Consider the following 26,165-nt stretch of genomic DNA (forward strand, 5'->3'; position numbering starts at 1 on the left):
GCCCCTGTGTCCACCTGGGTCTCCTCCTCCCAGCAGGCTGCTCCTGCTCTGGCTTAGTCACCTCTAGGAGGGTCCTCAAAGCTCATGTTAGGCCACCTTTTCTCCTTTTACTTCTTACTTTTCCCTTCTGCCCATGCGATGACTCCATTTTTGTCTCCAAACCAGACATTCTTTTCTACTCCACATCCACTTATCAAGTAGTCGACTAAGCAGACATCGTCCTGTGGATGCCTCAACGTATTTCAAACTTAACGCTTCCAGAATTGAACTCATGGGATTCTTGTGAGTTCTTCCATCATTGGGGCCATAGTCAGAAAATGGCACCACTGTCCATCTGTGGGTGAGATTCATGCTTTTAGCCTCACTCCCACACCAGGTCCTATCAGTTTTCCATCTGAAATACTTCTCTGACGTGTCCATGTCTCTCCAGCTCTGCTCCCACAAATCTGCATTACCATCATCTCTCCCAGAGGTGCTTCCAGATGGTCTCTTTGCACCCATCCTCACCCTTGCTTCTTCATTCTCTGTACTGCAGATGCATTGGTCTCTTCAGGGGACTGCTCCTATTTTTGTTGCTCCTTAAAGCCTTACTGTGGTTCCCCAGGGCTCTTATAATGAAGGCTTGTGTCCTTACCACGGCCTACAGTGCTTGTGTGTTCTAGCTCCTGCCTGCCTCTTTAATCTCATCTTTGCTGTTCTCTGCTCTTTGTGCATTAGCTTCAATGGCTGAAGGTACCTTCTACCCTGGGGGCTTTGCACATGCTATTTTCATTACTTAGTATTCTGTGGACCCCTCTCCCCTGCTTCGCTTAGCTAACTAGCAGATCCAGTAGCCCTTTCCCTGCAGATGAGTCTGGTCTGCTGTCCTCTGCCTGTGAACTTTTCCTTCATAAATTTTGTCATAGTTGATAATTATGTAATTACTAGCGTGACTATTTGATGAACCTCTCCTTTCTGTCTAGACCCGAAACTTCATGAGGCAGAGACCATATATGGCTTTGATTGCTTTGGTGTTCTTGGTCTCCATATTGGACCCAGAGTAGGGGTTCAGCAAATATTTGTTGAGGGCACGCTGATTACTCTGGGAAAGTAGTATGAAGAAGCCACAGGGACAACAGTCAAGTTGGTTATTTTAATCATAAACTGCCATGAACTCTATTTATGCCATTAGTTGAAAGGGAAAATGTTTGCTGGAAGAGTTTTATCAAGATATAATTGTTCTTTGACATTTTCTGTTAGCATATCTGAGGTCTACTCATCAGTTTTACTAATCTCCAAAGGTTACCGATAAATGAGTTCAAATATATATGCTTTACACTAGAGGCCTTAAAGCATGAAGGGCCTCTCTGGTTTTCTTACTAGAGAGCAGAATGTTCTAGAATTTAAGATGGAAGTATATTTCAGTGACTTCTTTGTAGAATATCCAAATTCTCACCAGTTTGCATTAAGTGGAGTGCCGCTATAAAGTAAGGAACAGTTATGAAATTAAATGTTTCTTTAAAAATCTGAAATATACTTATTTCAGTTAGATACATATTTGGGAAATAGTCTAAGAAGAAATTGCTAATAGTGATGGCTAAGTTACATGATAAATAGATAAAACATAACTGGACATATTATATCAATTATTTGTGTGGTAATAAAAAAACCTAAAGGATATTTGAACTTAGTTCATGCTAGTCATATGTTAAGACAGTCAGCCTATTATATAGTTTGTATTGTTCATTTTCTTTATTAAAGGACCGTAGATTTCCTCTCCTGACGAAACGAGCACAGAGAAAGAGATTTAGTCGTTCACCCTCGGTCCCTTGGCATTTCTCTCTGGTCTCTTCTGTCCTTGGGGCCAGTGCCCATCTCCGTCCTCCTTTGCCTGCTATGTGCCTGGCTTTGTGGTTCAGACACAGTCTCCTTTAATCCCCATGGCAGCGTTAGGAGATGGAGAATTTCACCCGTTTCACAGATGAGGAAGCGAAGTTCTGAATAGTTAAATGACTTGCCCAAAGTTTGTAAGCAAGAGAAACAAGACTGGGCCCAGGCATTCTCTTAGAAATCCAAGGTTCTTTCCAGTACACCAACAGAGGATTTTCTATTAAGAGTATGTCATCTTGGAAAAGAAGAAAATGCTTTCACATCTTCCCCAAGCAAAATATGGTACAAAAATATTTTCAAGCGTTTCTATCAGCAATTACAAGAAAATATTTTGAAAGGCCCCCAGAATCCAAGCAGCCCTTGATCAAGCATTTGCATAAGCTACAGTGATGATGGAGTTTGGTTTGGTGCCACAAACACTTATGGATAACAGATTCGTTTCTGTCAAAAATATTTCTTGGTTTAATCGTACACTTCTTAGCAAAGTTGAGATCAGGACCCACCGAAACAAACACAGCCAGAGCCTCCTGGGCGATCGCTAGGGTGGGCGTCATTGGGGAATGGTCTATCTTTAGGGGTCCTGCCTTAAGGAAGCCCATGGGAAAACACCGGCTGTCTGCAAGCCCCTTCTCTGTGGTACTTCTGTGACTCTTTCTTTTCTTCTTTTCTAGGAAAGTAAGCCAGAGCAGTGCTTGGCTGGCAAGGCCCATAGCACCGGAGAGCAACCGCCGCAGCTCAGCTTGGCCACCAGGTGCGGTAGGAGGCTTCTTGGGATGTTTGCAGCCCCTTTCCGCATCCAAGTTCATGGCGTGTGCTGCCTGGATGCAGATAGGGTTCACCACACAGTTCCAACTCTGGCTCTGTGATTCACTTGGTGACCTGGAGCAATTTATTTAACTTGGTTCTCCCATGAGCAAAATGCATGCAGTTGCTCCCTTAGATAGCTAATTTGCAAAATAAATGTGAGCCTTTAGTGAGATAATATAACTAGAGCATTTCTCATGGTCCTGGCATGCAATAGTCCTTTATACACAGATGATGATGATGACAATAATAACAGTGAGAATAATGACAGTGATGACAGGAATAAATAGTAGCCCTAACAATAACATGGAAATAAGTTTCACTTCTGAAGGAACTTGCCTTTCTCTGTAATTTAAATACTGACCAGGACTTACGTTGATACTTTTAACATGGATTCATATTCACTTGGCATAGGAGAGGTTAGATTTTGATGATACTGATCCGTATTTGTGGTGTTTTGTCTTCAGGTTAATCACTTTGTATGGGATTGGAGGTGACTCTGAGGACAGTCCCGTTATACACTAATTATGATGGTGGTATCATATACTGACACTGAATGATTTGCGCTGTACCATCTTTTACTTCTTACTTCATGTTTACAGTATTCCTGTGCTTAAGAAATCCAGGATTCCATTTCTTATTTAGCAGACAGAAAGTGCTAACAGATTAATTGGGGCCAGATCCACATCTTACTCATTTTTGTATCTTGGAGGCCACTGCCCCACAGAGTAGTCGTTTCCAAAGTGTTGCTCAACCGTCACTGAACCACTGAGGTTTTCTCCATGTGTTGTTGATTTATGGGAGAGGCAGGCGTGGATTTCCATTCCTCTGAATCCCGGCCATGGCTCTGTGTCTTAAACAATTTTACATCTAGGATTCTTTGCTACAAACAGAAACCCACGTGGGAGGCAGGTGGGAAATGACCTGATTTCTTTATTGTTCTCTGTGGAGAAGAACAGGGTGGAGACGAGTGTGCGGGACCTGGTAGGGGTGAGTTTGAATGTGACTGTGAATGGCCTGGCTCGCTCTCGCCTGGGATGCTCTTGAAACCTTTCTGTTTCCCCTGGTGGTGTCCCAGGTGCCTCCCCCTGACCCACCGCTGGTCTGTGCTTCACAGGCACAAGAAAGAATAGGAAGGCACCAGGGTATCGATATTTCCCAGCTGGGAATTCTGAGTTTGGCTGTGAGTGTGCTTGGAAGGGAGAAGGCAGGTGTGTTGAGGATGGAGCCCAGGCCAAGGACATGCCACCCTCTGAGCAGCCAGCATGGAAAGCAGACATTTCAAAATAAGTGGTTGTTTACTGCACAAGCTGTAGCGGAAGCAGTCGACATTGGAGTCAGGCAAGTGTGGTTTGGAATCCCAGCTTTGCTCCTCGGTAACCATTGGACCTTGGGGAAGCTCCCTGACACATCTGAGCAAAGGTGCCAGTGCCACCGTCAGTGCCCAGACAGGCTGGGATGGAGCTGGCCTGGAGGCTGCATGGGAGGCATGCTACCCCAAAAGAGGCACACACAACAAAGATGCGAAACTGCGTGCTCTCAGCAACTTAAACCAACTTAAATAGCTACACTAGAAATGCCCCGCTTTCCTGGAATTCATTTTAACAACCTTCTCTGTCTTGGCAATAATTTCTAAACACAAGAGGTAGCACAGAGCAGGATGTACAGCAGGGACCTTGTCCAACAGCCTTCAGTGTGATCTTTGGCAAATTAATCCACCTCTCAGCGTCTCCATCTGTGAAATGGGGTTAAGAATAACACCGATGCGGTAGACCCCGTCTCACTGGGTCTTCGAGGCAACTTCATGAGAAAATGATCCAGAGTGCAGAAACCAATTGGGGAGGATGGCTCTGTGGTCACCTGGAGGACATGCGTTCAATCCCAAACCATACAGTTTCTGTTGGCTGAATGCAGGATGTCTGCCAAATCCATCCTGCCCTCTGGCAGTGCCCAAGGCTGTGGGAGCCCACCTCTTACATTAGTGTGACCTGGATGTGAGACATGGAGTCAAAGGAGATCATTTTGGAACTTTTAAATTTAATGACTGCCCTATTGGATTTCACACTTGCATGGGGCTTGTAGCCCCTTCGTTTTGGCCAATTTGTCCCAATGGAAACAGGTGTATTTACCCAATGCCTGTACCCCAATTGTATCTAGGAAGCAACTCACTTGCTTTTGATTTTACTGGCTCATAGGCAGAGGGGACCTGTCTCAGATGAGACTTTGGACTGTGGATTTTGAGTTAATGCTGAAATGAGTTAAGACTTTGGGGGACTGTTGGGAAGGCATGTTTGATTTTGAAATGTGAAAAGACATGAGATTTGGGAGGGTCCAGGGGCAGAATGATATGCTTTGGCTCTGTGTCCCCATCCAAATGTCACTTTGAACTGTAATCCCCATAATCCCCAGGTGTCAAGGGTGGGACCAGTTGGAGGGAATTGCATCATGGGGCCGTTTCCCCCATGCCGCTGTTCTCGTGATAGGGAGTTCTCACGAGATCTGATGGTTTTACAAACATCTGGCATTTCTCCGGCTTGCACTCACTCCGTCCTGCTGCCCTGTGAAGAAGGCACCTGCTTTTCCTTTGCCTTCAGCCATGATTGTAAGTTTCCTGAGGCCTCCCCAGCCATGTGGAACTGTGAGTCAATTAATACCTCTTTCCTTTATAAATTACCCAGTCTTGGGTATTTCTTCATAGCAGTGTGAGAACGGACTAATACAGCCAGTCTTAGACCTAGGGGAAGATGGGCCTGAGGGTCAGAGAGTTAGGTTTACAAGGGAGGGAAGAGGACAGCAACTGGGAGGGGCCCGTACACAGTGGGCACAGTGGCATTGCTGGTGCCAGCACTGCTCTTACTCTTACTCCTTCTAGACATAGCAGGCAGGACCCCAGGAGAGTGTGGAGAGCAGCGAGATACTTCTGCAGCTCTTCCCACGTTGGAACCTCAGCTCTTGCAGTTTACTTGGGGTGTCACGGATTTTCTCACTGTCCGATACAATCATATTCAAATGGGGCAAAAAATGCTTTTTCCCATCAAATAGAAACAGCTGGACCATTCGCCATTCTGAGTTAGTCACAGTATGGTTCCTTATCAAACCTGAAAAATTAAGAATTGACTCTTGTGAAAACTCAGATTTTGAAAAGAATATAAAGTTCTCTTGAAAAATGTAAACCTTTTAATTTATACTGGCATCTCAGACTTTGAGTCTCCTTATTAGAGTCATGCAGTTGACTAAAAAAAAAAAAAAGGTGTCAGAATGTTTTCCTAATTGACAGACGTGATTGACAGAATAGTCCCCGAAGTCCCATAATTGAGCAAACAGCTTGTCACCATACAAATAATTAAAATAGCGTTTGAAAAACGTACACTGACAAGTGCTAACTTAGATGTTGTTCACAGCTACTCTTCTGTGCACACATTTTCAAATGACATGAGCCCTTTTGTTTTGTTTTGTTGCTTCTTGCAGATACTGTAAAGCAAGCAACATTTAATGAGCCATTGTAAGGGGTGGGGTGGGGGCCTCCGAAAAGGAGGCATTTTATTCTGTGCAGGGTGGCGCAATCTGAGACGTGGCAGCCGCAAATGACCGTGTACTTGCCCTAAGCCGAAACCACCAACAGCCAACTGCGCATCTCGCATTTTAGTCTTTGTATCTGTGTTTTCCTTTCTGTGTTCCTTCAAACATGGCATGCTGCACAAATTTAGTGGATTTTTTTTTTAAAGCAGCAGATGGAAATCACAGCTATTCCGCCTTGCCTCCTCATCCCGCCGGCAGAGGTACACATCAATCTGTTGTCACCAAGAGCTTTGCTTCACATTTGGATCTCATTTCACTCCAAACTGTTTGGTTGGAACATAAACATTTTCCCATTCAATGAGGGGCCTGTAGCCTCGTTCTTCTTCTGCTTGACAAGGAAATCTGCACCACCCTCCCCTCCCCGTTCCCAGCAGCATTTGCCAGGCTGTACCAGCTCCAGGACCACATTTACCCCATCTGAAAACCTCCAGATTGTTGGTTCAGAGGAACCAGCATGGTTCATAGGATCCGTAGGTGTTAGAACTGGAAGGGACTTTGGTTGGATCAGGTCATTTTACAGATGAGCCCACTGAGGCCCAGGGAGGAATTTCCTAGGATGAGGCCTTTGCTGGGGCTTATGTCTGGGTCTCCCAGTCCAGGTCTCTCTAGCCTGTTACCTGCCTCCATCCTGAAGTTTTGGGTGGATGTGATTCAGTTGTTCCTCTGCATTTTAAGATAAAGAAATCAAGGCTGAAAGATAAAGAAATGATTTCTCCAAGGTAATGTAGCCCGAAGTTACCATGGGCTGGAAACCTGTGTTTTTCAGAGTCTAACTGCTGTACCATCTCCACTCTACCTAGAATCAGGATCAGCCCCCAATGTCATGGCGTTGTTCCATCCACGTGTAGCTTAGCTCTGCCACAGACCAACCACAGTTCTAGCCGATGCTCTGTTTTCCTTCAACTCAGCCTCCTGTTCCCATGGCGTATTCCCCCAGGGCTCTGTCCCAGTGATCTCTAAATCTTTGTCTTCAGCCCAGGTCTCTGTGTTGTGATTTAGACACAAGCCCTGCGTGAGTGGGAATAGGTTGTTTGCTGTGCCATCGATGCCTGGCATGGTATGCTTGAGTGTCGGTTGAATGAACTCTGGGCCACCATCCCAAAGCCCACCGACCTCCCTTTCCTGGGGCCCAGGGAGCAGGTGCTTAGGGAGGGGCTGCTCATTCTAGGACTGGAAGGAGCTGGGTCTCCACATAAGTGTGGTAGAAACAACACAGAAGTGGAGGTGCTGTGGGACACTATCCTCCTTCATGTCTCCCCAGTATTGGGCAGTATTGGGTTGTAGGGATCTCTTTTTTTTCTTTTTTGAGACAGGGTCTTACTCTGTCACCCAGGCTGGAGTGCAATGGCGCATTCTTGGCTCACTGCTACCTTCGCCTCCCGGGTCCAAGTGATTCTTTTGCCTCAGCCTCCCAAGTAGCTGGACTATAGGCAAGAACCACCACGCCTGGCTAATTTTTAAATTTTTTGTAGAGACAGGTTTTGCCATGTTGGTGAGGCTGGGGATCACTTCTTAAATGAACACTTATGGGGTCAGAAAGCTGTAGGTTGCATAGGAGATCTTAAGGGAGGCAGGGGCGGGGGAAACAGGAGGCAGTAAGGCGAGAGGAAGTTAGCACTGAGAGGAGAGAGTTTATTGAGATAAAAAGATAAAGACAATCCTGGTACTTCTTCTCTTATGAAATTCAGATCCTTTCCCCACTTTTAAATGGGATGATTGGTTTCTCTGCTGTTGAGTTGTTTGAGCTCCTTGTATATATACTGGGTATCAGCCCCTTTTTGAATGAGGAGTTTGCACATATCTTCTTCCATTTAACGGGTTGTCTCTTCGCTCTGTTGATTGTTTCCTTTGCTGGGCAGTAGCTGTTGAGTGTGATATAGTCCCATTTGCTCAACATCACTAATCAGGAAAGTGCAAATCAAAACCACAGTGAGATAGCATCTCACCCCAGTTAGCATGGCTATTATCAAAAAGACAAAAAATAACGAATGCTCACAAGGATGTGGATAGAAGGGAACTCTTAAACACTGTTGGTGGGAATGTGAATTAGTACAGCTATTATGGAAAACAGTATGGAGATTTCTTAGAAAACTAAAAATAGAACTAGCATACAATCCAGCAATCCCACTACTGCTTATTTATCCAAAGGAAGGGAAATCAGGATGTCAAAGGGATACCTGCATCTCCATGTTTATCACAGCACTATTCACAGGAGTTGAAATATGGAACCAACCTAAGTGTCCATCAATGGATAAATGAATGAAGAAAATGTGATATATACACAATGGAGTACTATTCAGACATAAAAAAGAATGAATCCTGTCATTTGTGGCAACGTGGGTGGAATAGGAGGTCATTATGTTAAGTGAAATAAGCCAGGCACAGAAAGACAAATATCACGTGTTCTTACTCATATGTGGGAGCTAAAAATATTGATTTCATGGAGGTAGAGAGTAGAATGGTGGTTACCAGAGCTGGGAAGGGTAGAGGGGAGAGGAGGATGAAGAGAGGTTGGTTAATGGGTACAAACATACAGTTAGATGAAAGGAATAAGTTCTAGCGTTTGATAGCACAGTAGAATGATTATAGTTAACGGCAATTTATTATAAATTTCAAAATAGTTAGAAGAGAAGATTTGAAATGTTCCCAACACAAAGAAATGATAACTGTTTGGGGTGATGGATATGCTAATTACCCTGATTTGATCATGGTATGCATGATATTTTGATAAATGCAAATATATACGTTTATCAGAATATTACATGCACCCCATAAATATGTATAATTAATATGTCAATAGAAAAATAAAAAATACGAAAGACAGTAAAAAAAAAATAAGCTGGAGCTCTGTGTATACTCTAACCTTGCCTAGAGGAAGGTGCTGAGCCAGAGGCTTTGTAGGAAGGCAAAGTACCGGAGGGCTTGGGATGTGCTGCTTTGGGGGCCACTCAGCCTTTTCCATTTAGTCTAAGGCATTTACTAAGTGATTCATATAGCATTGAGGCATTTTCAAAGATAGTGGTCCTGGGAGGCAGAGCTGATACTACTGGGTTGGGGATTATGTCATAGCAGGATTTTCATTGAGTGAATAGCTAATTACAGATATGCATTATGTGAGCTATTTAAAGAAAACGAGCCTAATTCCCACCCTGCACCTCCCAGCTCCCCACTAAACAAAAAAGTCTAGAAGAGTTAGGGGCACTGACCTGTATATTCTGAGCAGGGAAGTAAGGCGTATTCCTTGCTCATGGGATGACCCTCTGGGGGATCCTGAGAGAAGAATTGGTGAGTCTTTCTTGCTTTCACTGGCACCTGTCCGTAAGTCCTAGAAAGGCCCTAATTGCTTGGAGTTGTATATTTGGCGAGCTTTATATAGGGAACTGATGGATGAGTGTGGACTTGTAGAAACTTGGACTCCTAGCGCTTGGCATGCAGTCTCAGATAGGAAGAGAAGAGAGACAGAGAAGACAGCATCTTCCTAGGCCAAGAGGGAGTTTAACCCTGCTTGTCATGAGTAGGAACCTGTTGGCTTAAAATAGTGGTGGTAGCTCATCAATAGGCAAGTGAATGAGGAGAGGCAGCCCCCACACGTGTAATGCAAGAGATGCATGAATGGGGATGTAGTGAGAGTTCATTGATAAATTTAACGTCTTATGGTAAATGACCACCCGAGAGACGGGACTCAGGAGAGACTGGATTGACTTAGTCATTGATTAAAGGCTAATGCATTTTTCATGGCTACCCAGATGCATTTTCTAATTGGTGATGACATCACTGTGTGTTCCAGGGTAAAGCATGAATCATCCTCCAGTGATGAGGAGCGCGCAGCTGCCAAGCCATCAAACGCAGGCCACCTCCCTCTTCTGCCTAATGTCAGCTACAAGAAGACTCTCCGGCTGACTTCCGAGCAGCTTGTGAGTCTCCCATGCTTGGCGCGGCTGTGTTGTGAGCACATGAGGTTTCTGCAGACTCCTAAGGCTGTGTGATGGTTGGGATGTGCCCGTTACTTGTCACCTTTCATCCCAGGGGGCCTGCAATCCCTCAACTGGGTACCCGCTGTTTCCACCCCAACTCCAGCACTATCCAGGCTGGGTCCCCAATATGACCTTGCCTTTTGTCTTCTCCTTTTGCTGGCCTGGCCCTGGAGGATCTAGTTTACTAGAGTTAGGAGGAAGGCAGCCTGGCGGAGCTAATTCGTCCTAAGGTGTCAATCACAGATAGACTTGAAAATCACTCAAGGGTGTTTTTGCTTCAAGAGAGAGATGTTTGTTAACTCAAATGCATCTCTTAAGTTGGTGGAAATCAAGCAGTTGTGATAGAATTTAGAGAATTTCAGGTAACCAGGGGCATCACCTGGTCATGGTGTCCTTTTATTTTTCTGTGTGTGAGACCAGTTTTAATTAAAAGCCCTTTCTTGGATCCCGTTGGTCATGGCCAGTGAGCACCTGTCCTTGCTTTTTTGTGAATCAAGTCTTGTGCATTTCTCCTAAGAGTTAGTGGGGAGCCTGGCTCAAGTGTGAGGGTGTTTACTAGGAAAAGATAAGGAAGAGGCCCAGACACCCACTCAGGCCATGTGTGGGACCCTGCAGCCTGGGGGTCTCTGTGTGACTCACTGCTCCCACTGGCGACACTGGGGACACCTGCAGTCAGGCAGCCTGGGGGTCTGAATGGCCAGCTGGTGTGCACCAGGAGTCCTGGCACAGAGACTCAAAACTGCTCAAAAGTCACTTTGTATTTTGAATTTGGTGTGATTTCTTTGGGTCTAGACTATATTCTTCTGGATATGAGGCATGACTGATAACCAAGACTTCTCTTTTTCCAATTCGTGTCAGTATAATAATAATTTAAAAACATGGTTATTTAGGGAAATGTATTTTCACACTTGGCTTAAATTTGTCTCCCTGAATGATGATCTTCCTATTTAGTCCTAGAGTGGTAAGTGTATCCTATTCCAAACTTGTGATTTATTACGCCGTGTAGCCCCGTCATTGAATCCTGGCTAATGACTGTAATCTGAAAATACTTGATCAAATTAGCACTATCCTGGGAAGTAGAACAACTCTGTAGCAAGTAGGCAAGTTGCATTACAAGGGGGCCTGAGAGAGCTGAGGTTTCATTTTGCCTGTCCAGCCCCGGAAAGAACCAGAACAAGGAAGGGTGGGGAAAGAAAGAATTATACAAGGGCCCAGGGCAGTCACTTGTTTTTAAAGCCGAATCCTGCTTCTCATAGAACAGAAGCCAAATGCCCATCAATCAGGGCCTTTCCCTCAAGCAGACAAATACTAATGGTTCATGTTTTTCAGAAAAGCTTGAAGTTGAAGAATGGCCCCAACGACGTGGTTTTCAGTGTCACCACGCAGTACCAAGGCACGTGCCGCTGTGAGGGCACCATCTATCTGTGGAACTGGGATGATAAAGTCATCATTTCTGATATTGATGGGACAATTACCAGGTAGGTCCTGCTGACTTGGGGCCCATGGTAGATTTCTTTGCTTCACCGTGGGGGTCTCTGGGCCTGGTGTTGGCACCTCTGCTCTCCTCATGGGACTTGCACGGTTCGAATTCTGGTGCAGTTGGAGCTCCTTACGTAGTTTCAGCTCCTTGGTGGCAATCATTGTGTTTAGGGCTTAGTTGTTTCCTTCTGGGGTATTATTATCTCTTCGACTTGGTTGCTTCTGTGGGGGCTTCTCAAGAACGTCTTTTTGAATGGCCTTTACCTTTGATTGAACAAGCCGGTCACCTCGATGCATGATCAGACTGGAGGCGTCCTTCTGTGGATTACCTGTCCCTCCGTCAGCATCAACTTTGATGACTTGAGCCTTGGGCTTTCTATCCAGAAAGAAAGTTGTGGGTCTTGTTTGTGTTTTTTTTTTTTTTTTATGAGGCATGAATGGTGCAATGAATCTGAAAGGGATTTTTACTTTATTTTTCTCTTTTCCTCTTCATTTAGATCAGATACTCTTGGCCACATTTTGCCCACCCTTGGGAAGGATTGGACCCATCAGGGCATCGCTAAGCTGTACCATAAAGTGAGCCAGTGAGTACAGAGTTCCTGTTTCCCGCCTCCTGTGAACGCTGGTGTGTGCACCGCACTCTGCATATGGAATCTTTCCTGTCCCAGCACGGGGTGACTTGCAGAGAGGGCTGCACCTCAACCAGGGAGGGGCAGTGGGGGTCAGGGGTAGCAGTGGAGTCCAGAGTGAAAGTGAATCCCAGCAACTCCAAATTTGAATTCAATACCAAGAAACAAGGGGCGAAGTATAGGGGAATTGATTACTAGGAGAACACAGATGGTGGCAGCATTAGGGGTGAGACTGAGGTTTAGTTCATCCCGAGGGATGGCAGAGGTAGCCAGTTGAAGAAATAGGAGCTTATATGTTATATATGCCAAGTGATTTTCTGTAGACTAAAAAGTTGCAGATTCCAGGCAAGTTTTGGCGGCGTTGCAGACCCTGCGAGCCAACCAGCAGGGCACATCATGTCTACCTGGTCTGTGGAGTGCTCCAGCAAGTGGCCCAAAACAGAACAGTGCCCACCGTGGGACCCTCAGCCCCAGACATCAGATGGGAGAGGGGTTCTCCGACTGCTCTCCTGTGCTGGGTACATGGGTTACTTCACTTATATCTTACAGAGATTCTGAAAAGCACATAATATCATTTCTGTATTTAGATGAGTGAAATTAACTAGGAGAACTAAAGTGATTTATCCAAATTCTCATTGCTCTCGTCTGCCTCCAGGGTTCAGAGCCCTGCAGGGATTCTCCATGCCCCGCCCCTTCCGAAACACCCCCATTCTAGCTTGCCAGGCCCAAGCCTCTCTCCCGCTCAGTCATGCCTCCTCCAGCCTTTTGTGGCCTAGAGTCTCCCATGCGAGTGAAATCTCCCCCTCCACAGCATTCTGTTCTCCAGCCAGTTAGAGCTGGAAGGTGCCTCTGCCTGAATCAGGACAGTGCGGTCTCTCCGTGGGTGAGGTGGGTGAGCAAGTTACATTCACACTTAGTGAGTGTCAAGATAGTGTCAAGACGGAAGTGTCAGGCCCATGGTTCCCAACCTTGTTTGCTCATCTCTAGCCCACAGTGGTGATGGTAGGGAATGGGCCACCATCCAGAGCTGTTTCTAGAACTCTGTGAACACAGATGAATGAACTGTATTTCCCTGCCCTGCATCCGTTCATCCATCCAGCATTCCTTGAGTGCCTGTTAGTGCCTCATCCTAGGGCAGGTGCCTGGGATTGCTATGAACTAGGTAAGTCTCTGACCTGGGACTTTATGATCCAGTAGAAAAATGGCGGCTTGGAGAGAGAACCTTAATCCTGGTGGGATTAAAAGCTTCAGATTTTGTTGGGCACATGTCGATAGTCCCAGCTATTTGGGAGGCTGAGGCGGGAGGATTGCTTGAACCCAGGAGTTCGAATCCAGCCTGGGCAACATAGTGAGATTCCCCCCCATCTCTCTAAAAAAATAAGTATGTACATTAAAAAAGCTTCAGATGTCATCTTAGATGCCCAAGCTCATTGGTTTGACTTTACTTTTCTAGATTTCATCTTTAAAAAATTATTAATACAAAAGTTATGCATACTTCTTAAGACATAAAAATACTAATAAAAGAGGCTGAGATTATGGAAACAGTAAAGCGCAGAGGTTGTATCACCCTCCTGCCTGCCCTTGCTGCAAGCTATTCCCTTCCTTAAAAGTAGAACTACTATGAACAGTTTGGTTCTATCTTGCTGAATTTCAAAAACTTATTTACATCCCCACACACATACACTCACATTATTTAATTATTCATCATATCTTTTTTGTTTCATTTTATGTAATATTTACCTTACTCTTTTTGCTACTGGGCAGAATCCTGTCGTCTAGATACACCATACTTTCTTTAACTCGCCCTCTATTGATGAACGTGTAGGTAGTTGCCACTTTTTCCCCTATTGCCAACAGTGATGCAGTAAGCGTTCATAGACAATGCTTATGATATATAATGCATGTATAAATAAATAAAGAAGGCACACACACTTAGGGAAGTCCCGCTGTAAAGTAGATTCCCAGGAGTAGAATTGCTGGGTCAAAGGATGAGCACATTTAAAGCTTTGATCAATATTGCCGAATTGCCCTCTCAAAAGGTTATCCCAGTCTGTGCTGCTGTAGGTGGCGTATGTGCAGCGTCGCCTCCCCACAGCCTCACCACGGGCTGACCTTTCATTTAGAAGGATTAATCTACTCATGAGGTGCCTTGACTTGTGTGACACTGAAAATTGCATCTATTTTTAGTTGAAGGAAAGAAACCCTCATGGGTCAGGATGTTGAGTAGTGCACAGCTGATTCATTTGGTTTTTGGAACATAAATCTATTTCTGTCCTTACTGTAACATTAAACAAGCCCTGTTGCTTTTTAATTTTTTTTTTTTTTTTGGTCTTGATTTGTCTCTTGGTTTTCTCAGAAGAGAGATCTTCTTGAAAAATAAAGCTGTGTGGCTTACTGAAGAACCCCTGACCATTCTTTTCTTTGATTGGTTGGTTTAGAATGAGTGAAACCTGTTTGTCTGGACCCGCAGATACTGCCCGGAGCATGATGTGACGTGGAGACCCAAACCTTTGCCTGCTCATTGAGTTGGATATGTGTGTTGTCCGCGCACCCAGTCAGGCCTGTGTGATTTGCAGGATGGCCAGGGCTTCTGAAAACCCATCTTCAGGGCAGCTTTCTACAACCTTCAGGGCTCCCTGCTCAGCACTGTAGGAGGAGGTGCCAGCTCCTTGATGTGGCATTTGAAACCTGGCACTTTCAGGTCCCAGTCTTCTGCCAAGCCCTTATTTTCAGCTGCTGTTTCTCAGCCCTTCCTGCTCTAATCCAGCGACTCTGTTCCTCCTCTGCACTCCATTCCCTTCTTCCTGCCTTTGCTCATGTGGCGGCCTCAGCTTGACATGGCTTCCCCTCTGATTTTCGCTTCTCCATATTTTTATAGCCTTTAATGCCTGGCTCAAATGCCACAGTCCTCAGGCCACAATCTGTGACCCTAGTCAGCTCTGGTCTCTTCCCCGTCCCCGGACTTGCTGGACTCTATGTGGATATCGGAGGGCTTGGGCCTGGCTTGTTGGCCTCGGTCCCCATCATGGAGGACAGTCTGGACACGATGGCAGCCTCCAGAGCCAACCACTGATGAAAGTAATTCCCATCCTAGCAGGCTCTCTCAAGCCTCCTCACACGAGGGCCTTAGCAGCCACCACTGGGAGACCTGTCAGGCTAAGAATTGACCAAGGCTTGTGACCCACTGTTCTAGTGACTCCCATCATACTTTTGAATCTGTATTGTGATTTCTAGAGAAACAGAGAAATGATTCTCATGCTAGGGTACCAGGGAAAAGATGCCGTTTACATGAGGGTTTGTGGACTTTTTCCTGATTTTGCTTCCCTTAAATTTGGGTACGACTTACATTTTATGCACTGTAGTATTTGTCTAATGAAAAAGCCAATCTTCAGCTGGGCACAGTGACTAACACGAATAGTCCGAGCACTTTGGGAGTCCGAGGCAGGTGGATCACTTGAGGTCAGGAGTTTGAGACCAGCCTGGCCAACATGCTGAAACCCCATCTCTACTAAAAATACAAAAATTAGCCAGGGATGGTGGTGGGTGCCTGTAATCCCAGCTGCTCGGGAGGCTGAGGCAGAATTGCTTGAACCCTAGAGGCAGAGGTTGCAGTGAGCCGAGATCGCACCATTGCACTCCAGCCTGGGTGACAGAGTGAGACACCATCTCAAAAAAAAAAAAAAAAGAGAGAGCGAGAGAGAGAGAAAAAGCCAATCTTGCAGTTAGCCACTTGCCTGAAACAACAGTGAATAAGGACAATTTTGTTTTCTGCTGAATTTAATGACTTGTTTGGATCTAGTCAGCCCATGAGGAATGATCCATAAGGCTAATTGTCACCTTGTTCATAGAGAGGGTATAAAGCTGGCTTGAGTATTGATGAAACAGAACAAATGCAAATGGAAGATACAGGAACCCCTTTCAGATTCAGGTGCATTCAAAACTAGAAGGAAAGTCAAGAAGGACTGTTGCCTAAAAGATCTAGATCATTCAGCTAATGGGTCCTTTGAGGCCTAAATTTGGGCAATAATTGTTTGAATTTTTGACCTTATTTCATACATGCTTTTATATTCATGTAACCAGAAGCCAGTGTCTTTGTGACTTAGAAAAAAGAACACTTACCGTGTTTCCCGAGGTTCGTTAGCTCCGCTGGGGTCTAGGTATGCGGTGTCCCAAGCCAGTGGACTGAAAATGAGAGGCATCTGTAGCAGACTTGTTAGGGTCTTTTTTTTTTGGAGATGGAGTTTTGCTCTTGTTGTCCAGGCTGGAGTGCAATGGCATGATCTTGGCTCACTGCAACCTCCGCCTCCCAGGTTCAAGCGATTCTCCTGCCTCAGCCTCCCAAGTAGCTGGGATTACAGGCATGTGCCACCACGCCCGGGTAATTTTGTATTTTTAGTAGAGATGGGGTTTCACCCTGTTGGCCAGGCTGGTTTCGAACTCCTGACCTCAGGTGATCCATCCACCTCAGCCTCCCAAAGTGTGGGGATTACAGGCGTGAGCCACTGCGCCCGGCCTAGATCTTTTTTCCTTTCCTGCCCGCAGCAGTTATTTCTTTCATGTCAGCACTTCTTTGTTTATTGCAGTCATTGCCCTCTGCCAGTAAGAGATAGGATGATGCGAGATGATAAGAGATAGGATGGAAGGTCTGATCAGGAGTCGGGCCAGGATCCCAGAAGCGGCAGCCATTAGCTCACCCTGGGCCCTGGGACCGAGTACCTTCCCCACTCTGAGCTTTGTTTTCCTCTTCTGTAAAATGAGATTAGGCTAGATGACCCCTGAGGTCACTGCTAACCCAGGAATGCTCTGCTCCTGGCTGTGTGGATTGCACAAGGGTGTGTTTTGTTTTTCCAAGCCAAACCTCAGTCCAAACTCAGAGGGAGCCCCTAGACTCTGGTTGCACCAGGAGCTGTCCTAGGTGCCGTCGGGGGTGCTGAGCAGTCTCTCCCTTCAAGAAGCTTGTGGTCTTGTGGGAGGAGACACTTAGGGCTCCCTGTAATAAGGCAGTGAGGGGCAGATCGAGTGTGAAAGATGTTGGTTTTTGTTGGACATACATCAGGAAGTTAATTTTGATTGACCAGAGGTGTCAGAGGAGGCCCCTGTGAGAAGGTGGCACTCAGCTGAGTCTCCATGGAGGAGCAGGGTTTCAAAGGAGAGGAAAGCTCACCACAGGTGGAAGTAGGAGCGAGAGGGGAGGCTGGGAGACGAGCAGGTACTGGGTGGGCTCACTGAAAGGGAGACTCCGGTGCAGACGGTGGGGTGGGTAAAAGATGAAGCAGGAAAGTAGGCAGGAGCCAGGTTGCAGAGCGCCTGGGAGGCAACTCACCAAGCCTGAGTGGTGCTGAGCCTTCCTTTCTCAAGGTGGCTTGTGACCCTCTCTCCCCTTAGGATGGCAGATGGGGCCACAGAGTCCTTTTTCTCTACAGCAGTGGCTCTCAACTGACGGACATATGGCAGTGTCCAGAGATGCTTTTGATGGACATAAAGGGGCATGCTGTTGACTCTTAGTGGGTGGACCCGGGATGGTGCCGCATATCTGATGAGGTGGCATCGTGGGGGCCTCGGTCCCCAACAGACACTCCTCCAATCTCAGATGTCAGTGTTGAGAAACTGCAGTCTAGAAGCTTGCAAAATGCTCCCGAAGGTAATCTTTCCAAACTATTTAAATCTCCCCGAGTCAGTGTCTTAAGAGGGATGCAGAGATTAGGCAGAGGAGAAAACTTGTACCAAGCCTGGGCATGGATCCCTCTTTTTTTTTTCCTTCTTCCCATTCTGGTGTTTCTCCAGAGCCCTGTTCCAGTTGCTGAGAATGCTAGAGGAACAGGGGTGATGTGTGTATCGCACCTTTATCCACTGACACCTCCTATTCCTGGGTCCCACCTGTCCTTCTGGGTATTGTTGGTTTTCCCCAAGCACCCTCTGCTTCTGTGGGGCAGGGCTGTGCCATGCCCTGTGCGTACCCCAAGCCCCGTGTGCAGCCTGGCATAGGAGTGCTCAGTGAGTGAGTGTGCACTGAAGGGACCGTGGAAGGAGCCTGTGGGTTGAGCAGGGACTTGGGCTGGGCTGGCCTGTGTGGCATGTCCTGCCACCGGTTGTCCTTCTGAGTGAGGGGTCTTCCCTGTGAGGGGCACCATGGAGACTTAGTGCTGCCTGAGCATTTGGTGGGGCACTTGTTGGCATTGCAGACAGCTTTTGTTGAAGGCAGGAGGGAAGGCTCTTCCACCAGCAGCAAACATTTTCCCCATTAGGTCACTCTCGAGCTGGCTTTCCAGCTAAGTTTAGTCAGGCAAGAAGGCTGGCATGCTGACAGTAACTCAGTGGCATGGCCCAACTGTGAAATATATTTGACAATCCAGTTCTGAGTGAGATTAGCATCTTAGATCTCTGCAGGTGGCAGCTTTTAGGACTTTGATGTGAAGAGCTATACATGGAAATAGTGATTTCTTTTTAAAGATTGTATGAATTAGATGGCTAAAATACAAAGATATTTAGAAATTAAAAAGATTGGCTGGGCGCAGAGGCTCAGGCCTGTAATCCCAGCACTTTGGGAGGCCAAGGCAGGTGGATCATGAGGTCAAGAGATCGAGACCATCCTGGCCGACATGATGAAACCCTGTCTCTACTAAAAATACAAAAATTAGCTGGGCGTGGTAGTGCATGCCTGTAGTCCCAGCTACTCAGGAGGCTGAGGCAGGAGAATCGCTTGAACCCGGGAGGCGGAGGTAGCAGTGAGCTGAGATCGTGCCACTGCACTCCAGCCTGGTGACACAGCGAGACTCCGTCTCAAAAAAAAAGAAAAAAAAAGAAATTTTTAATTTTGTTTGATTTTCAGATGCATCCCTGTATTCCAGACAAGCTGATATTTCTAGATTCTTTTTGTCTTAAAACTTTCTCATTTCTTAGTTTTAAAGAACATGTTATTGAGCAATTTTCGAAACAAATCCATTGGCCATTATAAAATATTCATGGTAGAACAATATGTTGGATAGGAAGTGGGTAGTTTATTCACTCATTCAGCAAATATTCACTAAATGTCTGCTACATGCCAAGCACTGTTTTTGGCACGGGGGTTGTAGCAAAGAATGGGACAAAGTCCCTGTCCTCATGGAGTTTATGGATGAATGAGAGATACAGTCGAATGAAGGACTATAACGTCATATTAGTGATCAGTGCTAGGAGGAGAGGGAAGGCAGAGCAAGGGCCAGTGCCTGGGTGAGGAGTGAGGGGGTGTGTGTTTCATCGCATGGGGGAGGTCAAGGGAAGGGCCTTCTGGAGAGGTGAGATCCAGCAGAGACCTAGATGAGGTGAGGGTACAAGCAGTCCCTGCAGACTGGGGGAAAGGTGCTCTAGGCAGGAGGAACGGCATGGGCAAGTGCCAGCGCAGATGAGCGTGGCGAGTTGGAGGAAGGATGGGAACACCTGTGTGGTTTGCCAGGAGTGAGGAGTTGGACAGTCATTGCAGATGGGGTTGGGGTTGGAGAGAAAGGTGGGGGCCAGGTCTTGTTGGTCTTATAGGCCACAGTGAAGGGTTTGGACGACGTCTGTGAGAGGTTGCAGCCTCAGGAGGGCTCTGAGTGTGAGTGGGCTACGCTTTACATTTTCTTAGAGCACCACGTGGAGTCGGGATAGCAGCAGGGAGGTCATTCAAGATTGTCGCAGCAACGGAGGCCAGGAGGCCATGCGGTGTGGACGTGGTGGGAGCACTGGGTGGTGCCGAGGGTGGAGCAGAGGGGACCTGCTGATTGTGTGGCGTGGGGGCTGGGGGTAGGTAGACACCAACGGGGCCCCTGAGGGTTTGACGTCACACCTGGGTTAGGAGAGTGCCACTTGCTACTTGCAGTGCCACTTGCAACAGGGGCCCCCGAGGAGTCTCGGGGTGAGTTGGGGAGGAGCCGCTGTGGTGTGTGTGGTTTTGGAGGTACCCATTTTGGAGTGCGATGAGTACTGTGGGGTCCACGGTGAGCACGTACTGCGCAGTGGGTGTAATGTGGAGTTCATAGTAGCCTGCAGCTTGGGAGAGGGGTCTGGACGGGGTCCATGCATTTGGGAGATATCAGTGTATAGATAGTGTTTAAAATTTTTGAATAATATGTTTTACTTAATCCAACATATTCAAAATGATATCACTTAGACATGTAATCAATATGAAAACGATTAATGAAATATATCATACCTTCTTTTTTTTTAATTAAAAAGTAAACTTTAATGTCGAAAATGCAAACTTGGGGAAGACAGAAAAGGTCACACACAGGGCTGTCACTTCACACTTGGAAGGTTGCACAGCGGCCGGGCAGAGGTGCTCCTCACTTTCCAGACAGGGCGGCGCATACTTTCTTTTTTTTATAATAGACTTTGAAACTTGGTATATATTTTATACTTAGAGCACATTTCATTCTAGACACTAAATTTTTGATAGTTAAAAAAAGTGAAATGGGGCCGGGCGTGGTGGCTCATGCCTGTAATCCCAGCATTTTGGGAGGCCGAGACGGGTGGATCACCTGAGGTCAGGAGTTCAGGACCAGCCTGGCCAACATGGTGAAACTCTGTCTCTATAAAAAATACAAAAATTAGCCGGCGTGGTGGTGCATGTCTGTAATCCCAGCAACTTGGGAGGCTGAGGCAGGAGAATTGCTTGAACCTGGGAGGCAGAGGTTGCAGTGCGCCAAGATCACGCCACTGCGCTCCATCCTGGGGGACAGAGCAAGACTCTGTCTCGAAAACAAATAAACAAAAAAAAAAAGTGAAATGGACCTGCTAACGCAATAAAGTTGTGTTCATAGACTAGTTGTTTCTTCAGTCTAGATATGGCATTTGGAGCTGTGGAAGTGGGTGAGGTTCCCAGGTCCTCTAGGGAGTGTGGGGGGTGTGGAGAAATGAGGCCTGAGAACCCTGGGCGCTTGTGCGTTTTGAGGCTGGCAGAGCTGATGGGAGCAGGCGAGCTGCTGTGTCTGGGAAGCGGTGGCTGCTGAGGAGGAGAACACCCGGACACTCTGGAGTCCTGGGAGCTGAGTGACTCAGGTGCTCTGGGAGAAGGAATGAGCCCCCGAGGCAGATGCTACTGGGGAGTCCATTCCTACAAGAATTGAGAGTTGATACCTGGGTTTGGCAAGATGGGCATCAGGGTGACCTGTGCAGGGACAGCAAGGAAGGGAACAAGAGAACAAGAGTCTGCTAGGAGTGTGAGGAGAGGAAGGAAAGTGAAGAAGTGGACTCAATGCTTGTAGTCAGCTTTTTGGAAGAATTTTGCTACAAAAGGGAACAGAGAAATGGTATCTTAGCCAGAGAGAGACTAAGGATGTTTTGGTGTGTGTGCATGTGTGTGTGTGTGTGTGTGTGTGTGTGTGTGTGTGTGGTTGTTTTGGCTTGGCTTGTTTTAAGGATGAAATGAGAGATTGCAGAATATTTATGTGCTGATGTGAATTACCCAAAAGAGAGGAGGAATTTGATGGGGTGTGTGTAGGGGCGAATGAAGCAAATGCTGGAGCAAAGTGTGTGAATTGGCAGGTGGCTGTGGTCTTGTCGCAGGGGCTCTAGCCAAGAGCTGGGACCAGGGGGAGTACAAGGGGCTCAAGCGCAGGCAGGTGAGCCAGTTTCATCCATCTGAACCTCAGTTTCCATAGCAGTAAAACCAGGGGAAAATACTCATCCAGCCATGTTCTCCTGAGGATTAAACAAAGTGGGGAATGCAAAAGCACTTAGTGAATTACAGTGAAATGTATTTAAGCCTATTTCTCAATTGCAAGCAAGATTTTGTAGAATGTGGACTTTTGTATGTGGGGGAACTTGAAACAGTGCCATTCTCCACAGAACAGATATGGATCAGGATTTATGAATGCAGAAAGGTTCCATTTTCTGATGCCATGAAATGTGAATGTTTTATGTCTTTCAGGAATGGATATAAATTTCTCTACTGTTCTGCCCGTGCCATCGGGATGGCGGACATGACGCGGGGCTACCTGCACTGGGTCAACGAGAGGGGCACGGTGCTGCCCCAGGGGCCCCTGCTGCTGAGTCCCAGCAGCCTCTTCTCTGCCCTGCACAGGTACCAGGCCTGCTCCCTGCACCTCCATCTGTGAGCCTGTTCAGACCCGCTCTCTTCCTAACTGCAAGTTTTGTAAGAATAGCCTCCTCACTGGTCTTCTGCCCCAATATCCATGCTCCATAGCAGGCACCAGAAAAATCATTCCAAACACAGGTCTACACCTGCATTGGCTCCTCATGGCTTTCAGGCCGAGTCCAGACTCAGGAGCTTGGCGCTTGGTGGCTCCTCATGGCCTGCGCCTCCCCTCCTCTCCAGGCGTGTTTCTCTCGTCTCTACATCTCAGTCTGTGTCTCCCAGACAATTGTCTCTGCTTGGAGCCTTTGCACATGCTGTTCCGTCTTTTTGGGTCACTCTCCTGCTCCATCTCTTCTTGAGTGGCCTGGCTGAATCTTAATGTCCGTTGGACAATGAGCCTCTATCTCATCTCCTTAGGGATCCTTAAGTGGCCTGTCTGCGAACCACCATCATTCACCTGGCCTTTGACACCCATCATACTTGTCATTTTCTGTCTTAGATTTCTGGGAACACTGTTCATTTTACGGGTCCTCTAACAGACCACTGGCCAGTTTCTGATTACCTTCCTCCCTTCACCTATGGGGCCATATCAAGGTAGCTAAGCCAGACTAACTCTGGCCCCTTGGAGTTGGAGGAAGAAAACACTGGACGTCCCTGTAGTTGGAGGCCCAGGGCAATTTACTAGACACCTCTCAAAGCAAAAGCTATTGTGGTCAACCATAGGACATTGGTCCCTGCTGAAGGCTGATTGTAAATATCATAAACTTGGTCTTTATGAATGTCATTGACGTGATTCTGCCTGAATTTGAAGACCAGATGAACTGTTTGCTGCTGCTAATCATGCAAACAGTGGAAGAATCTAGATGGGCCCCAAATGCTGTGTTGATTCTTGTGTATTTTCCTTTAGCTCTGTAGGTACCTTTTCCATCACGGCGTTGTTTTGTGTAAGCAGTAGCTTTTTTCCTGTAGTAAAAGATGTCAAATTGAGACATGCACATTCTAGGGGAGAAAAGTCAGGCACAACCTAGTGTATTTCAAGTCCTCAGAGCTATCATAACAGCACTGATCTCAATAGAAATCCTGATATTTTAGTGAAATTGTGTCCCTAAGCTATGCTGACAATTTGCAACAAGCCATTCATCAGCCTGTGTTAAGTAGTAAGGCTTTGCTAGGCCAAGCAAAAAGTCCACATCGTTACTCCGACATCCTAACACTAACTATGCATTTAAAGTGATCCTTTTCATTTCCTTATTTAAATATCATTGTCCAAGGTGTATTGCTTTTTCCCTGGGAGGAATTATTTTAAAAACCCTAAATCTCATAGTTGATATGTCCTCTTGGAAGGCCAAGGTGCTCCAGTGGCAGATGGCCACCGGCCTGGTCCTTCCTAGGGCTGCCATCAAGCCAGAGCCGTTCCATGTGCTAGCTGTCCTGTGGAGTTCTCTAGAATTGCTAGCGAAGGCTGCCCTAACACAAATGACCTTCCTTTTTTTTTTTTTTTTTTAATTTTACTTTAAGTTCTGGGATCCATGTGCAGAACATGCAGGTTTTTTACATAGGTATACATGTGCCATAGTGGTTTGCTGCACCCATCAGCCCGTCATCCAGGTTTTAAGCCCAGCATGCATTAGTTATTTGTCCTAATGCTCTCCCTCCCCTTCCCCCCCAACCCCCTGACTGGCCCTGGTGTGTGATGTTCCCCTCCCTGTGTCCATGTGTTCTCATTGTTCAACTCCCACTTATGAGTGAGAACATGCAGTGTTTGGTTTTCTGTTCCTCTGTTAGTTTTCTGAGAATGATGGCTTCCAGCTTCATCCATGTCCCTGCAAAGGACATGAGCTCATTCTTTTTTATGGCTGCATAGTATTCCGTGGTGTATATGTGCCACATTTTCCTTATGCAGTCTTATCATTGACGGGCACACAAATGACCTTCCTTAGCACAACTCTTTAACTGGGTGCAGTTCTGATTTTACTGCTAGGTTTTGAATTAGGATGAAGGAGGGGAAGGTAGTGGGTGGATATGCGTGTGGTGCAGTTGGCAAAAACAAGCCCTCAGCACAGGATGGTGATCACTTAGCCTTTGTCAGGAGTGCTGCGAATGTCTTTTCCCAGTTCATAGCTTTTAATGAAAATAAACTTAGTTTTATGTCATTGAATGTATTGTTTCCTCTGTAGTTGTGCTTTTTGTGTATTACCAAAGTCTTCTCTGACCTGTGGGCATGAAGACAGTCCTCCTGGATTTTATCTGAAGGTGTTGCTTTCACATTTAGGTCTATAGTCCACTAAGAATGGATTTATTTAGGTAGAATGAAGTAGGGGTGCAGTTTAATTTTTTTTTTCCTATATGGATATTCATTTGTCCCCACACCATGTGCTAAAAAGACTGCCCTGGCTGGGCGCAGTGGCTCACGCCTGTAATCCCAGCACTTTGGGAGGCCAAGGCAGGTGGATCACGAGGTCAGGAGATGGAGACCATCTGGCTAACACGGTGAAACCCTGTCTGTACTAAAAATACAAAAAATTAGCCGGGCATGGTGGCAGGCACCTGTAGTGTAGTCCCAGCTACGCGGGAGGCTGAGGCAGGAGAATTACATGAACCCAGGAGGCGGAGCTTGCAGTGAGCCGAGATAGCGCCACTGCACTCCAGCCTTGGCAACCAGCAAGACTCTGTCTCAAAAAAAAAAAAAAAAAAAAAAAAAAAAAGACTGCCCTGCCCTTGCTGCTCCGAGATGCCATTGTGGTCATAAAGCAAGTATCTGTGAACGTGTGGTTCTGTTTTGGGGCTTTCTGTTTTGTTCCACTGGCAAAGGCCTGGACGAATTGGCCAAGGCCATAGTGTCCCAGCTCCCACAGCTGCAGAAGCTCCTCACCTTCCCAGCATCGGAAGTGCTAGGCCTGGCTTTCTGCTCGTTTTCGTAGCTTCTAGACTCAAATTTCATCAAAACACCCAAGACTCTGTTATGAGTTTGATTGAAATTGCAGTGAATCTGTAGAGCAATTTAGGAAGAATTAATATCTCAAAATTATATTGGATCTTCCAATTCAAGAGTATAGTCTATTCTTCATTTGTTTAGGTCTTTCCTAATATATTTCAGTAAAGTTTTATAATTTTAGCTGTAAAGGTCTGGCACATCTTCTGTTAGATTTATTTCTAGACATTTTATATTTTAAAATTTGATTTAAAATACCATTTACACAATTACCTTTTCTGCTTGTTTCTAATGCATGAAAATGATGCGATTAATTTTTGTACTTTTTTTTTTTGGTACATTGACTTGTTAACCTTATTAGAGTCTTTTTAATTCTGGTAATTCATGTGTAGGTTCATCTTCTTAATGTGCATATTTGTTTTTTGTGATGACAATTTTTTCCCCTAATTCTTTCTAGTATGTATAACTTTTATTTATTTTTCTTACATTATTGCATTTGATAGGACAGGCAATACAGCAGTGAATTGCCATGATGATACAGACCACCCTTATTTCACTGTTAATAAGATGTTCACTGTAGGTTTTTTTAGTATTCCCTTCTATTCCTGGTTGGAGTTCTCATCTGGATTAGATGTTAAATTGTATCAAATCCTCTTTTTAAATTTAAGTATTTTAAAAAATGAATTTTAATTTGGGAGGTAACTGGTATCAAATACCCTTTTTGTATCTATTGAGATGATCATGTTTTTCTCTTTTAACCTGATAATGTGTTATATTGATTTTAAATATTAAATTACTATTTCATTCCTGGAATAAACCCAGCTTTTATACATTGCTACAATTTG

At 45.9% G+C, this 26,165-nt stretch overlaps 1 protein-coding gene across 14 annotated transcripts in view; it reads left to right on the forward strand.

The window, feature by feature from the left end:
• LPIN1 (lipin 1) overlaps nt 1-26,165 on the forward strand; it is a 149,866-nt gene that overhangs the window by 115,324 nt on the left and 8,377 nt on the right. For all 14 annotated transcript variants that reach the window (NR_146080.2, NM_001261428.3, NM_001349208.2 and 11 more), the window contains 5 exons: nt 2,541-2,620; nt 10,040-10,166; nt 11,556-11,704; nt 12,203-12,289; nt 22,221-22,373. Coding sequence is in view for 13 of the 14 variants with exons in the window: in NM_001261428.3 (NP_001248357.1) it covers nt 2,541-2,620; nt 10,040-10,166; nt 11,556-11,704; nt 12,203-12,289; nt 22,221-22,373 (596 nt within the window). In the remaining variant the exon portion in view is untranslated. The remainder of the gene's footprint in view (nt 1-2,540; nt 2,621-10,039; nt 10,167-11,555; nt 11,705-12,202; nt 12,290-22,220; nt 22,374-26,165) is intronic.

The sequence above is a fragment of the Homo sapiens genome, chromosome 2 (assembly GCF_000001405.40).
Source record: "Homo sapiens chromosome 2, GRCh38.p14 Primary Assembly".
NCBI lineage: Eukaryota > Metazoa > Chordata > Mammalia > Primates > Hominidae > Homo > Homo sapiens.